This window comes from Homo sapiens, chromosome 1 (assembly GCF_000001405.40).
Source record: "Homo sapiens chromosome 1, GRCh38.p14 Primary Assembly".
NCBI classification, from domain to species: Eukaryota; Metazoa; Chordata; class Mammalia; order Primates; family Hominidae; genus Homo; species Homo sapiens.
This window is the reverse complement of record NC_000001.11, coordinates 151,021,735-151,036,464: the sequence shown is the minus strand read 5'-3', so window position 1 is coordinate 151,036,464 and position 14,730 is coordinate 151,021,735. Positions and strand designations below refer to the sequence as shown.

At 47.0% G+C, this 14,730-nt stretch overlaps 1 protein-coding gene and 1 pseudogene across 13 annotated transcripts in view; one reads left to right on the top strand and one right to left on the bottom strand.

Moving 5' to 3' along the window:
• The window catches only part of PRUNE1 (prune exopolyphosphatase 1), a 27,265-nt gene continuing 13,286 nt past the window's right edge, over window positions 752-14,730 (bottom strand). For 4 of the 13 annotated variants that reach the window (NM_021222.3, XM_005245393.6, NM_001303229.2 and 1 more), the window contains 5 exons: window positions 11,670-11,854; window positions 10,792-10,950; window positions 9,138-9,232; window positions 7,521-7,679; window positions 752-2,659 (listed from right to left, as the gene is read on the bottom strand). In NM_021222.3, coding sequence (NP_067045.1) covers window positions 2,231-2,659; window positions 7,521-7,679; window positions 9,138-9,232; window positions 10,792-10,950; window positions 11,670-11,854 — 1,027 coding nt within the window. In that variant the 3' untranslated portion in view covers window positions 752-2,230. The remainder of the gene's footprint in view (window positions 2,660-7,520; window positions 7,680-9,137; window positions 9,233-10,791; window positions 10,951-11,669; window positions 11,855-14,730) is intronic. The other 9 variants (NR_130131.2, NM_001303243.2, XM_047426610.1 and 6 more) reach the window with 5 other exon arrangements.
• On the top strand, window positions 13,613-13,719 carry RNU6-884P (RNA, U6 small nuclear 884, pseudogene; annotated as a pseudogene).

The following is a 14,730-nucleotide window of genomic DNA, read 5'->3' as shown; positions in this document are numbered from 1 at the left end:
GGGGGCCAGTCTCGGTTGAGTCTAGGAAGGCAATTTGTTCTCCTTTCCAGACTCCATATATCCCTCTCAAAGTTGCTCTTTACACAAATAAGCAAAAAAACCAGTAGAAACCGTTGTGTTTCTGGCCGGGCGTGGTGGCTCACACCTGTAATCCCAACACTTTGGGAGGCCAAGGCAGGCGGATCACCTGAGGTCGGGAGTTTGAGACCAGCCTGACCAATGTGGAGAAACCCCATCTCTACTAAAAATCCAAAAAAAAAAAAAAAAAAAAAAAAAAAAAAAAATTATCTGGGCGTGGTGACACATGCCTATAATCCCAGCTACTTGGGAGGCTGAGGCAGGAGAATCGCTTGAACCTGGGAGGCAGAGGTTGTAGTGGGCTGAGATTGTGCCATTGCACTCCAGCCAGGGCAAAAAGAGCAAAACTCCATCTCAAAAAAAAAAAAAAAAAGAAAAAGAAACCATTGTGTGTGTTTCTAGGACTGTTATCTTGGATCTACTTTTCAAGCATAAGGAAAACTGGGGAAACGGAAGTATGTTATAAGGAGGTTTCTGGGAGAATAAACAAGTTGAACGGGAGGCTGAGGATGAGGGGAGACAGAAGCCTGTTGCTCCTTATTCCCAAAAAGAGTCAACAGAAAGAAGACATTAAGTATAGTAGGAAGAAGGGGGATCAATTTTGAGGAGACTGAAACAACTATCACAGAGAAAGGCCTGAATACACTTGTAAAAAAAGACAGTAAGACCCCCAAACAGGAAAAAATTATTTAATAGTATAACAAAATGCAAAATAAAGTACCCAAGTTACAAAACATAAATTCCTTTGGTTCATGATCACACCACTATTTTTACCTTCCACATAGCTACAGACATCACACCCTCAAAGTGAAGTCAAACTGTCCCCCTCATACTGAAGATGTCATGCCAAAACCATCACATACCCCACTGTTCAGTGAAACTGTTGGCAACTTACATGGAACAGAGCTGTGGGGTAGGAAAAAGGGGAAAGGGTTGCGTTAAAAAAAATGGGGAGACTCTACACATGCAGAACAAGTTAGTGGGAGGGAGTGCTCTGCTGGGTCAACACGCCATGAACCACACCCCTATTCGTGCTACATGAGGCTGAGTCCTTGCTACAACCACACAGAAATACAGACAATCAAGTGAACCTGAGCACCCCCAGGGATAACAGAAGAAAAATACAGAGAAGCAGAGGAGAGAAAGAATGGCAGCAAGAGGCAGATCACAGAATACCAGGGAACACCTAGTCCAAACCCTGTTTTACAGATGGGGAAAGTGAGACCTGGAGTAGTGAAGTGTCTTGCCAAAATACATAGTTTATGGGAGCATTAGAACTCCATGCTTCCTTTTAATGTGAGCAAGGAAAAAAAGAGATTGACAAGAAATTGATAGGCCTGCTAAGGCAGGAGACAGACCCAGGCCTCTCATTCCAGTTCTGTTGTCTTTTTGGAAGAGTGCCTATGAGGTCATTAAGGCCTTTCTGGGTGTTTTCTTGATTCTCAAGAGTCAGGGTTCTGGGTGGCTCTGGGACAGAGGGATCCAAAGAAACAGCCAGGCCACCTGATCAGGACAGAAGACAATGGCCTCTAATCTGTTCCCAAACTAGATCTGAAACAGTCACAATAAGCTAAGAATAGAAATTCAGCCATCTCTGAATCAAACACCATCACCTAAATGGTGGCAGAAAGAAAAGTCACCGAGCTGATAATCTGCTGTAGGCTGAAAACTGGAATAAATTTCCAAAGCGCACTCTCTTTTCTCTCTAGCTTGAGGCAGGTATTCAATAAATACTTGAATGAACAAGTGAATAAATGAATACATGGAGACCATCGATGAATGTTCAGTTCCATGACAGATACTGGTTCTGTTCAAGATCCATGCCGAGGACACTTTTGGGGTCTAAATTCTTTTTGTCCCACTGTGCTGGGACTGCAGATATGTCACATCGTGCCCCTGGCAAATAAAATAGAGAGAGGTGCAGATTTAAATAATAAAATGTGTCTGATTGGTAGAGATTAGGGGGAAAAGGTGGAAAACCATTCTTAAAGCAGCTGCTTTCTTTCACTTTTTTTCTCCTCTCAGTTTTATGAGAACAGTATACCAGATCCTGGAGCAATGAAGACAGAATTGCTGAATCTCCAAACATCTCAAAACATGCATTTGAAGTGAGTCAGGTAGCCTCACCCACTACCTCCTCGCCTCTCAACAGTCACTTCTTGGACAGGGAGGCTGTGGTAGACTGTGACAGTGAGATCTGACTGCACTTCTCGAAGACGGCCTCAGCAGAGAGTTTAGGCAGCCCCTGATCTAGAGGGCACTCATCCACCAAGCTGTTCATGGGCGTCGGGGGCAGCGGAGGGTCCTCCTCATCTTGACTCAGGCCAGAAATCAGGGAGTTACTTGCCCTGTCCAATTCCTTGTCCACTTGCTCCCTGGACACATCTGCTGTCTCAGGCTGTCCTGAAGGGATCTTCATGGAGTCAAAATATGCTGACAGGGCTTCCTGGAGCAGGGGCAGAAGTTTCTTTCGAGAGACCTGGGTGTTGCCTTGAAGATAGGCATGGAGGTTAGGGTGGGTACTTGAGGCAGGGGTCAGCTTCAGGGGTGGAGAGTGGGAGCGTTCCAGGACTTCACAGATCTAAAGAGGAGACAATAACAGGGAAATGATACACAACTTGCTGTAGCAAAGTGCTGGGCTTCTAAGTGAGAGGCTTCCTCTATAGAAGAGGAAGCTTTTAAAAAGTAAGTCGGCCGGGCGGGGTGCGGTGGCTCACGCTTGCAATCCCAGCACTTTGGGAGGCCGAGGCGGGTGGATCATGAGGTCAGGAGATTGAGACCATCCTGGCTAACACAGTGAAACCCCGTCTCTACTAAAAATACAAAAAATTAGCCGGGCATGGTGGCGGGTGCCTGTAGTCCCAGCTACTCGGGAGGCTGAGGCAGGAGAATGGCGTGAACCCAGGAGGCGGAGCTTGCAGTGAGCGGAGATCGCGCCACTGCACTCCAGCCTGGGCGACAGAGCAACACTGCATCTCAAAAAAAAAAAAAAAAAGTAAGTCAGCCGGGCGCGGTGGCTCACGCCTGTAATCCCAGCACTTTGGGAGGCTAAAGGGGGCCGATCACCTGAGGTCGGGAGTTTGAGACCAGCCTGACCATCATGGAGAAACCCCATCTCTACTAAAAATACAAAATTAGCCAGGCATGATGGCGCATGCCTGTAATCCCAGCTACTTGGGAGGCTGAGGCAGGAGAATCACTTGAACCCAGGAGACAGAAGTTGCAGTGAGCCAAGATGGTGCCACTGCACTCCAGCCTGGGCAACAAGAGCGAAACTCCGTCTCAAAAAAAAAAAAAAGTAAGTTATCCTTGAGGCCGGGCACAGTGGCTCACGCCTGTAATCCCAGCACTTTGGGAGGCCAAGGTGGGCGGATCACCTGAGGTCAGGAATTCGAGAACAGCCTTGTCAACATGCTGAAACCCCATCTCTACGAAAAATACAAAAATTAGCCAGACATGGTGGTTCACACCTGTAATCCCAGCTACTTGGGAGGCTGAGATAGGAGAATCATTTGAACCTGGGAGGCGGAGGTTGCAGTGAGCCGAGATCTCACCATTGCACTCCAGCCTGGGCAATAAAGCAAGACAAGAAAAAAAGTAAGTTGTCCAGAGTTCGGTTTTATTGTTTGCAACAGAAGGAACACTAATATACACAGTATTTTTTTTTTTTTTTGAGACAGAGTCTTGCTCTGTCGCCCAGGCTGGAGTGCAGTGGTGCAATCTCAGTTCAGTACAACCTCTGCCTCCCCGGTTCAAGTGAATCTCCTGCCTCAGCCTCCCATGTAGCTGGGACTACAGGCATGTGTCACCCAGCCTGGCTAATGTTTGTATTTTTAGTGGAGACGGGGTTACACCATGTTAGCCAGGCTGGTCTCGAACTCCTGCCCTCAGGTCATCCGCTCTCGCCTCGGCCTCCCAAAGTGCTAGGATTACAGGTGTGAGCCACCAAGCCTGGCCCACAGTATTTTATTTTAGTATTTTGTATTTTTTATTTAATAGACTAGGGATGGGGTCTTGCTATGTTGCCCAGGCTGGTCTCCAAATCCTGGTCTCAAGCAATCCTCCTGCTTCAGCCTCCGAAAGTGCTGGGATTCATACACAGTGTTTTATTTATTTTATTTTACTTTAATTTTTTTTTTTTTGAAATGGATTCTTGCTCTGTTACCCAGGCTGGAGTACAGTGGCACGATCTTAGCTCACTGCAACCTTCGCCTCCCAGATTCAAGCAATTCTCTTGCTTCAGCCTCCTGAGTAGCTGGGATTACAGGCACCTGCCATCATGCCCAGCTAATTTTTGTATTTTTAGTAGAGACGGGGTTTCGCCATATTGGCCAGGCTGGTCTCAAACTCCTGAGCTCAGGTGATCTGCCCAGCTCAGCCTCCCAAAGTTCTGGGATTACAGGCATGAGCTACCATACCCAGCCATACACAGTATTTTAAAAACAGAGGAAACAGTTTAGATTGTATATTTCATTTTATTATTAAAGTAACTAAAGCGAAGTAAGATGGTTGTGAGTAAAATCATGCAGATGATGGCAGTTAAACCAGAACCGAGGAACCCCAGCTTCTAATCTAGTGTCGTTTCCAAGTGTATAAATGTGCTCAAGAACTTGAACTAGGATGGAACTAGAATTTATCTAGAGGCCAGAAGAGGGATGGAGGAAGAAAGAATGAATTGAACAAAATAAGACTGGTATCACTATTACCCTCACTTACATGCAGGGAAACTGAGGCTTCAATGATCAGGTAACTTGCCTAAGGTCATAATTTGCATGAAGCAAAACTGACACTGAGCCCAGAGCTGTCACCAAAGCCAGTGTTCTAAATCAATATATTATACTACCCCTAACATAGGAGAAAGAGAGGAGATGGTAGAGTAGACTGTAAGAAAAGGACTCCTGGCTGGGCATAGTGGCCCACACCTGCAATTCCAGAACTCTGGGAAGCTGAGGCTGGTGGATCACTTGAGTCCAGGAGTTCGAGACCAGCCTGGGCAACATAGCGAGACTCTGTCCCTACAAAAAATACAAAAAAAATTAGCTAGCCATGGTGGTGTGCCTGTAGCCGCAGCTACTTGGGAGGCTGGGAGGATTGCTTGAACCCGGGAGGCAGAGGTTGCAGTGAGCTGAGATAGTGCCATTGTACCACTCCAGCCTGGTCAACAGAGTGAGACATCTCAAAAAAAAAAAAAAACACACACACACACACACAAAAACAAAACAGAGAGAGAAGGACTCCTGTTTCCAAGCATAGGGGCAACCTAGACAATGGTAGAGTCATTAGAAATCCACACAGCTTTAAAAGAGCAGCACAGAGGGGAGAAGATTCAGGAACGTGGAAGAGGTACTTCTAATGGCCAAAGCACCCTTTTCTTACTGACAGGATTAGTAAGAGCCACTATTTACAAAGTGCTTACTCTGCTCCAGGAGTGTGCTTTACACATGATATTACGTTTAATGATCATAGCAGAATTAGCAGTAGGTACTATTATGCCATTTCCAGATGCAGAAGTCAACTGACTTGCCTTAGCTCAAAGAGTGAGTAAGAGGCAAACCTAGAACAGAAAAGCACATCTACCTGACTTTAAAAACTGCAGTTCTTGGCCAGGTGCAGTGGCTCAGGCTTGTAATTCCAGCACTTCGGAAGGCCAAGGCAGGTGGATCACTTGAGGTCAGGAGTTCGAGACCTGCCTGGCTAACATGGTGAAACCCCATCTCTACTAAAAATACAAAAATTAGTCAGGCATGGTGGCAGGCGCCTGTAGTCCCAGCTACAGGCTGAGGTGGGAGAACTGACTGAACCTGGGAGGTGGCGGTTGCAGTGAGCCAAGATCACACCACTGTACTCAAGCCTGGGCGACAGAGTGAGACTCCATCTTAAAAAACAAACAAACAGACAAAACTGCAGTTCTTTTCATAATGACGAACTACCTTACACTGAATGAAATCAGATTTGCTTCCTGGGGAGAAGGCAAAGGCAAAGGGGGGCGGGAAAGGACAGACATACCTTCTATGAGAGCAAAGGATTATCTGGCTGTATTCTGTCTTTAGCAGTCCTCACAGAGCCTAGGCAACCCTCAGAATCCCTGAACTGCCTTAAGCCCACCTTTTTTTTTTTTTTTTTTGGAGACGGAGTCTTGCTCTGTTGGCAGGATGGAGTACAGTGGCGCAATCTCGGCTCACTGCAACCTCTGCTTGCCGAGGTTCAAGAGATTCTCCTGCCTCAGCCTCCTGAGTAGCTGGGACTATAGGCACGCACCACCACGCCCAGCTAATTTCCGTATTTTTAAAAGAGATGGGGTTTCACCATGTTGGCCAGGATGGTCTTGATCTCTTGCTCTCGTGATCTGCCCGCCTCAGCTTCCCAAAGTGCTGGGATTACAGGTGTGAGCCACCGCACCCAGCCTTAAGCCCACTTTTAAATTCTTCCCTAGGCTAATCAGTAACCAGCAGAGGAACAGAAGGGGGAGGAAGTAGGAAAGATAGCCAAATCTGGATCTAGATCACTTCTTTACAGAGTTTGCACTATACAGAATAATTAATCCCTGCATAGTAAGTAGCAGAAAAGGTCTCTCGTATTTCTAATTTTCAAGGCAACAGCATAATTCCAGGGGTGAGGAATTAATGATTAAACCAAGAATAGAGTTTTTGTTTTTTTTTTTCCCCAACAGAGATGAGGTCTTGCTATCTTTGCCCAGGCTGGACTCAAACTTTCCAGCTCGGCTGGGCGCGGTGGCTCACGCCTGTAATCCCAGCACTTTGGGAGGCCAAGGCGGGCGGATCACGAGGTCAGGAGATCGAGACTATCCTGGCTAACACGGTGAAACCCCGTCTCTACTAAAAATACAAAAAATTAGCCGGGCGTGGTGGCGGGCGCCTGTAGTCCCAGCTACTCGGGAGGCTGAGGCAGGACAATGGCGTTAACCCAGGAGGCAGAGCTTGCAGTGAGCCGAGATTGTGCCACTGCACCCCAGCCTGGGCAACAGCACAAGACTGTCTCAAAAAAAAAAAAAAAAAAAAAACTTTCCAGCTTAAGCAATCCTTCTGCATCAGCCTCCCGAGTTGCTGGGACTACAGGCACGTGCCACTGTCCCTAGCTCAAGAAGGGAATTTTAACTCCGGATTTATAACATTTCCTTCTAACTAGATTTCGTTCTTTCAAAGTAGGAATTGAATCTCTAGTTCTCTTTGGAATTCCCCCTTTCTCAACAATGCTATGATTAAGGATGTTCATTAAAAAAAAAAAAAGGATATTCATATAGAGAGAGAATGGGAAAAAGCAGAAAGGGGAGGAAACAGGTCCAGAAACAGGTCAAGGGACCTCATGTAAGTACATTAATATAAGAACCTAAGAGAGGTCCTTATAGGACAGCTGTAGAGCACAGAGGTACATACAGGCAGACTCTGTAAGGCTCTTAGGTTGGAGAAGGGACACAGACTCACCGTTGTTTGGAGTGCCACATGGGGACAGAAAATAGCCAACTGCCGCACTGGCTCATTGTGAGTGTTGAAAAAGATAGTCATGGCAACCAGGACATCATAGCTGTGAGCCTGGCAGAAAGCATGGAGATCTGCAAGGAGGTTAGACCTCTGCAGAAAGGCCTGAAAGGGAAGAAACGGAGAGGGATGAAGGACTTTCTCATCATCATCAATAAAACATCCTTGGGCCGGGCACGGTCGCTTACGCCTATAATCCTAGCACTTTGGGAGGCCGAGGCAGGTGATCACTTGAGGTCAGGAGTTCGAGACCAGCCTAGCCAACATGGTGAAACCCTGTCTCTGGTAAAAATACAAAAATTAGCCGGGCATGGGGGCATATGCCTGTAATCCCAGCTACTCAGGAGGCTGAGGCAGGAGAATCGCTTGAACCAGGGAGGCGGAAGTTGCAGTGAGCTGAGATTGCGCCATTGCACTCCAGCCTGGGGGACAAGAGCGAAACTCCGTCTCAAAAAACAAAAACAAAACAAAACAAAACAAAAAATTAGCTGGGCATGCCGGCACGCACCAGTAATCCCAGCTACTAGGGAGGCTGAGGCAGGAGAATTACTTGAACCCGGGAGGCAGAGGTTGCAGTGAGCTGAGATCATGCCATTCCACTCCATCCTGGGCAACAGAATAAGACTCAGGCTCAAAACAAACAAACAAACAAACATACATACATAACTGCTAGAGGTTTTTTGAGCATAGGAGATAGTACTTCAGTTAGGGTGGTCAGGAAAAACCTCCCAAAACAAGAGACATCTGAGCTGAGTACCTGAATGTTAAGAAGGAGCCAGCTTTACAAAGAAAAAAGCTCAGCTGGGAATGAGCTTAATGGTTCTGAGGAACAGAAAAGAAACCAGTGTGGCTGCAGTACTGTAGAACAGGAGTGGAGCTGGAATGAGATGAGGCCAGAGAAAAAGACAAGGGCCAGATCAAGCATGGCGCTGTAAACCACAGTAAGTCCTTTAGATTTTATTAAAAATACAATGAGGCCGGGCACAGTGGCTCACGCCTATAATCCCAGAACTTCGGAGGCCAAAAGGAGAACTGCTTGAGGCCAGGAGTTTGAGACCAGCCTGGGCAACATAGTGAGACCCCATCGACACATACATACACGCGCGCGCACACACACACACACACACACACACACACACACACTAGTTAGGTGTGGTGGTGTGCACCTGTGGACCCAGCTACTCGAGAGGCTAAGGTGGGAGGATTGCTTGAGCCTGGAAGGTTGAGGCTGCAGTGAGCCATGATGGTACCACTGTACTCTAGCCTGGCAACAAAGCATGACTCCCTTAAAAAAAAAAAAAAAAAATTAAAAAAGACCACTCTGGCTGCTGCGGGGAGAATGGTTTGTAGGGCTGCAAAAGCAGAGGCAGGGACACCAGTACTGAGGCTAATACAGCGGTGCAGTGAGAGATGCTGGACTCTGGTGGTCACAGTGGAGGTAGAGACAAAGATAGACACAAGATACATTTTGGAGGTGAGCCAGGAATGAGGTGCAAGGCCACATGCATAACATGCATAGCTAAAGGCTTTCTCTCCCCACCCACAGCCACAACTTGCTCTTACCTCCAAATCCATATATATTGCACTAATGGCCACCTTGACGCCTTGTCTATAGATAGTCTTCTGGTCTTTTCTCAGCATCTGCTCAGTGGTCAGTCCTAGAAAGCAGATGAGAGACTAGGGGTCAAACAGGGTAGGCCAGGGTCCCAAGACCAAGAAGGCAAGGACAGCCAGATGGGTCAAGGAAGGAAAAACAGCCTCTCTTTGGGGCAATGAATGGGGGAGATAATTGAAAATGTAATCATAGCCGGGCGCGGTGACTCAGGCCTGTAATCCCAGCACTTTGGGAGGCTGAGGTGGGCGGATCACCTGAGGTCAGGAGTTTGGGACCAGCCTGGTCAACATGATGAAACTCTGTCTCTACTAAAAATACAAAGAATTAGCTGGGTGTGGTGGCGGGCACTTGTAATCCCAGCTACTCAGGAGGCTGAAGCAGGAGAATCACTTGAACCTGGACTCTGTCTCAAAAAAAAAAAAAAAAAAGAAAGAAAGAAAATGTAATCACATAATCAAAAGCCATCTTAAATAACTGGTGACAATAGGTACCTTTAGAGCAAGTAACTTTGGAGAGAAGGATGAAACCCAGAACAGAGGCTTTTACTTTTTATCTTTCCCTCTTCCTATACTGTTTACATGTGAGTTCTTTCTTTCTTTCTTCCTTTTTATGTCAACAGGTGGTAGCTGAGTACAAGAATACAGTTTTTTTTGGGTTCTCTTCATCTTTTGTTTACTCACAAAATATTTCTTTTGCCTCCCTAACCAATTCTATAGATTTCACTCTGATAATTTAGTATACTCTCAGCATATTTTATATATATGTCCTGTATTCTCTGAATAGACTGGAACCTATGAGGCTCTTTTTGTTTTTTTTTGAGACGGAGTTTCGCTGTCGTTGCCCAAGCTGGAGTACAATGGCGCAATCTCGGCTCACTGCAACCTCCACTTCCCGGGTTCAAGCGATTTTCCTGCCTCAGCCTCCTGAGTAGATGGGATTACAGGCACACACCACCACGCTCAGCTAATTTTTCGTATTTTTAGTAGAAACGGAGTTTCACCATGTTAGCTAGGCTGGTCTTGAACTCCTGACCTCAGGTGATCTGCCCACCTCGGCCTCCCAAAGTGTTGGGATTACAGGCGTGAGCCACTGCGTCTGGCCCTTCTGAGGCTCTTAATACATTCCTCCTCATCCTAACCAAGAGCCAGGATAGAACAATCCAGTAAATGACTGATTATTTCATGCTTAGGCTAATATGGTACTTCATTTCTTTCTGGTATAAAATTTAAATAATTGGCCAGGCGCGGTGGCTCATGCCTGTAATCCCAGCACTTTGGGAGGCCCAGGCGGGCAGATCACCTGAGCTTCAGAGTTCAAGACCAGCCTGGTCAACATGGTGAAACCCGATCTTTACTAAAAATACCAAAATTAGCTGGGCGTGGTGGTGGGCGCCTGTAATCCCAGCTACTCGGGAGGCTGAGGCAGGAGAATCGCTTGAACCCAGGAGGTCGAGGTTGCAGTGTGCCAAGATTGTGCCACTGCACTCTAGCCTGGGTGGCAGAGCAAGACTCTGTCTCAAAAAAAAAAAAATAATATAATGAACAAGGCTTGCCTTTCTGTTTTCTTATCTGGGAGGCAGAAAAGTCAGCTAACATTTCATACCTGATACATCAAACTTTGCCTTTTGTAGGGAATCAAATATATCATTTCTCTTGGGTAGGTCTGGGAAAAGGGCCTCTAGTTTCTCCACATATTTGCTGTCCTTTGGGGTTGCCTTTCCAATTTTAAGGTCCATGTTGACACAGTCCAGGATGATGGTTCCTGTGGAGAAGGGAGATGGTGGAACTTGAATCCTGTGACCCTTCACACACAACCACCAGAACATATATAACCTTCACACCAAATGGACACACACAAGGAGATTTGTATAGCAAAATCTCTGAAAGCAAAATGAGAAACTGGGATGGACAGTGTCCTCAGACCTCCCAAATCCAAACTAAAATGTAGGAAGGGAAATGGGGAAAAGGTAGAAAGAAAGCCTGAGCATCTCAAACCTTGGAGATTTTACAGCCTAGTCAGACAGAGATACACCTCTTCAGTAGGCCAAATCCCATCAAAGAATCTTCTAAGTTGGAAAAGACAGTCTAGTCCAACTCACTCTCTCTCTCTTTTTTTTTACAAGTGGAAAAATGAGAACAAGAAAGGTTAAGAGATTTGCTCAAGGTCACCTATTTCCTGGAGGAATTGGTATTGGAATCTGTTTCCTGCTTCTTTAGCTAATCCTCCTTCCATCATAAAATGATGCCAATAGGAAGCTTCTTGGTCTGTTGCCCTGCACTTCCTTTCTACTTTCTCCAACAAGTATCCCACAGGCCTTTAAACACATGCTCAATTGTCCCCTGAAAGAATCCTATCTTTTGGTATGAGCTGAATGGCTCTGAGAGCATATGGTTAGGCTGGAAGCGTCTAGACTTTTCCACCCTCCCTTCTCAGGGACAGGAATAGAACTACTGAGGTCCCAATCCAAAAGCCACCCTTACCATGCAGAAGGGCTGCAGTTTGCCTGTCCAAGATCTCTGGTGCCCCCTGCAGGATTCTCTCGGTCACCAGGGTAGCACAGGACCCCACCAGCTCAACTGAAACATGGCAGGGAGGGCAGTGTTTCGGCTCGATGGGTCGATGGTCTAGCACCTCTGCTACTGCCTCCTCTAGGGCTGTGTCACTTCTGTGGAGGGGAGGGTATGGGAAAAGAGGAAGAAAGATAGGTACGGACACTCCAGCTGCTTCTAGCCAACCTCTACCCCACACATCAAGGAAAATGCAGATGTCTTTTTTTTTTTGAGACGGAGTTTCACTCTTGTCGCCCAGGCTAGAGTGCAATGGTGCGTTCTTGGCTCACTGCAACCTTTGCATCTCGGGTTCAAGCGATTCTCCTGCCTCAGCCTCCTGAGTAGCTGGGATTAAAGGCGCCTGCCAACATGCCCAGCTAATTTTTTTGTATTTTTAGTAGAGATGGGGTTTCGCCATGTTGGCCAGTCTGGTCTCAAACTCCTGACCTCAGGTGATCTGCCAGGCAAGCATTTAAAACTGACCTTTGGTTACTTTTACCTCTGCCTAACTCCTCTCAATTCTTTTTTTTTTTTTTTTTTGAGACGGAGTCTCACTCTGTTGCCCAGGTTGGAGTGCAATGGCACGATCTCGGCTCCTGCAACCTCCACCTCCCGGGTTCAAGTGATTCTCCTGCCTCAGCCTCCTGGGTAACCAGGATTACAAGGCACGTGCCACCAAACCCGGCTAATTTTTTTTTTTGTATTTTTAGTAAAGATGGGGTTTCACCATGTTGGTCAGGCTGGTCTCGAACTCCTGACCTCGTGATCTGCCCGCCTTGGCCTCCCAAAGAGCTGGGATTACAGGCGTGAGCCACCGCGCCCAGCAATTCTTTTCTTTAATGTTATAATTGGAGTCATCTTTAAATAGTGTATAAGCAAATTCTGTGAAGCATCTGCTGCAAATATCTTACCCCCACATTTGCTGTCCTTTAGCGTTGCCTTTCCAACCCTATACCCTTGACACCCTTGATACCCAACATCTAAATTTCTCCTTTTTTTTTTTTTTTCTAAGACGGAATCTCGCTGTGTCGCCCAGGCTGGAGTGCAGTGGTGCAATCTTGGCTCACTGCAACCTCCGCCTCCCAGGTTCAAGCAATTCTCCTGCCTCAGCCTCCTAAGTAGCTGGGAGTACAGGCGCCCACCACCAGGCCCAGCTAATTTTTGTATTTTTAGTAGAGACGGGGTTTCACCATATTGGCCAGGCTGGTCTCGAACTCCTGACCTCGTGATCCGCCCGCCTCGGCCTCCCAAAGTGCTGGGATTACAGGCATGAGCCACCGCGCCCAGCAAATCTCTCCTATTTTTATAACCCACTCAATACTTAGATTCCATGTGGGTCACCAGGTCCTGTGAATTCTATCTTAATTCCTATCCATGCCCTAGTTTCTAACTCTCTGTTACTGCCCCACTCTAGGCCCTCAATATCTCTCGTCTGGACTATTCCAGTAGTCTCTTAACCAATCACCTGCTTCCAACCAAGAGCCCTCCTGGGCTGTCCTTCACAAAGTGGCCTGAATGATCATTTGAAAAAAGAAAATCTGATTCTTTTAGGACCCAGAATATAATTTAAAATAGTTCCCCACGGCCTAAAATAAAATCCAATCACCTTAGAAGGGCCTATGAGGCCTCCATAATCTGCCTCCTGCCTGCCCCCTCTGTCTCATCTTTTTCCATGTCCTACTTCTCCCTCAAATTTTATGCTCCAGCTGTGCAAAACAAATTCCATTTCCCCTAGCTCACCATGCTATTTCACGCCTGCCTGCATTTGATTCTATTAATTACTCCCTCTGCCTGGAATGCCTTTCCTAACCACCTTCCCTCCTCCCTCCCAATTCACCAAGCAAACACCTAGTCCTCTTTCAAGACTGAGATCAGTGCTCACTTCAGCAGCACATGCGCTAAAATTGGAATGACACAGAGAAGATTAGCATGGCCGCTGAGCAAGGATGACATGCACATTTGTGAACTGTTCCATAAAAAAAAAATATATATATTTAAAATAAAAAATAAAGGCTGGGCATGGTGGCTCACATCTGTAATCGCAGCACTTTGGGAGGCCAAGGCGGGCGGATCACGAGGTCAGATCGAGACCATCCTGGCTAACACGGTGAAACCCTGTCTCTACTAAAAATACAAAAATTAGCCAGGTGTGGTGGCGGGCACACCTGTAGTCCCAGCTACTCGGGAGGCTGAGGCAGGAGAATGGCGTGAACCCGGGAGGCGGAGCTTGCAGTGAGCCGAGATCGCGCCAGTGCACTCCAGCCTGGGCGACAGAGCGAGACTACGTCTCTTAAAAAAAAAAAAAAAAAATTAGCCAGGCCGGGCGTGGTGGCTCACGCCTGTAATCCCAGCACTTTGGGAGGCTGAGGCGGGCGGATCACTTGAGGCCAGGAGTTTGAGACCAGCCTTGCCAACATGGTGAAACCCCGTCTCTACTAAAAATACAAAAAATTAGCTGGGTGTGGTGGCGCATGCTTGTAATCCCAGCTACTTGGGAGGTTGAGGCAGGAGAATCACTTGAATCTGGGAGGCTCACTGCAGTGAGCCGAGATGGTGCCATTGCACTCCAGCCTGGGCAACAAGAACAAAACTCAGTTTCAAAAAAAAAAAAAAAAAAATTAGCCAGGAATGATGCTTTTACACAGGAGGCTGAGGCGGGAGGATTCCTTGAACCCAGGAGCTCAAGGTTATGATGATGCCGCTGTACTCTAGCCTAGGAGACAGAGCGAGAGAGACACCATCTCTTAAAAAAAAAAAAGGTGGTGGCACGGTGGCTCATACCTGTAATCCCAGCACTTTGGGAGTCCGAGGTGGGCGGATCACCTGAGGTCAGGAGTTGAAGACCAGCCTGACCAACATGGTGAAGCCCCATCTCTACTAAAAACACACACACACACACACACACAAAATTATCCCGGGAGGCGGAGGTTGCAGTGAGCCTAGATTGCACTATTGCACTCCAACCTAGGCAACAAGAGAAAACTCTGTCTCA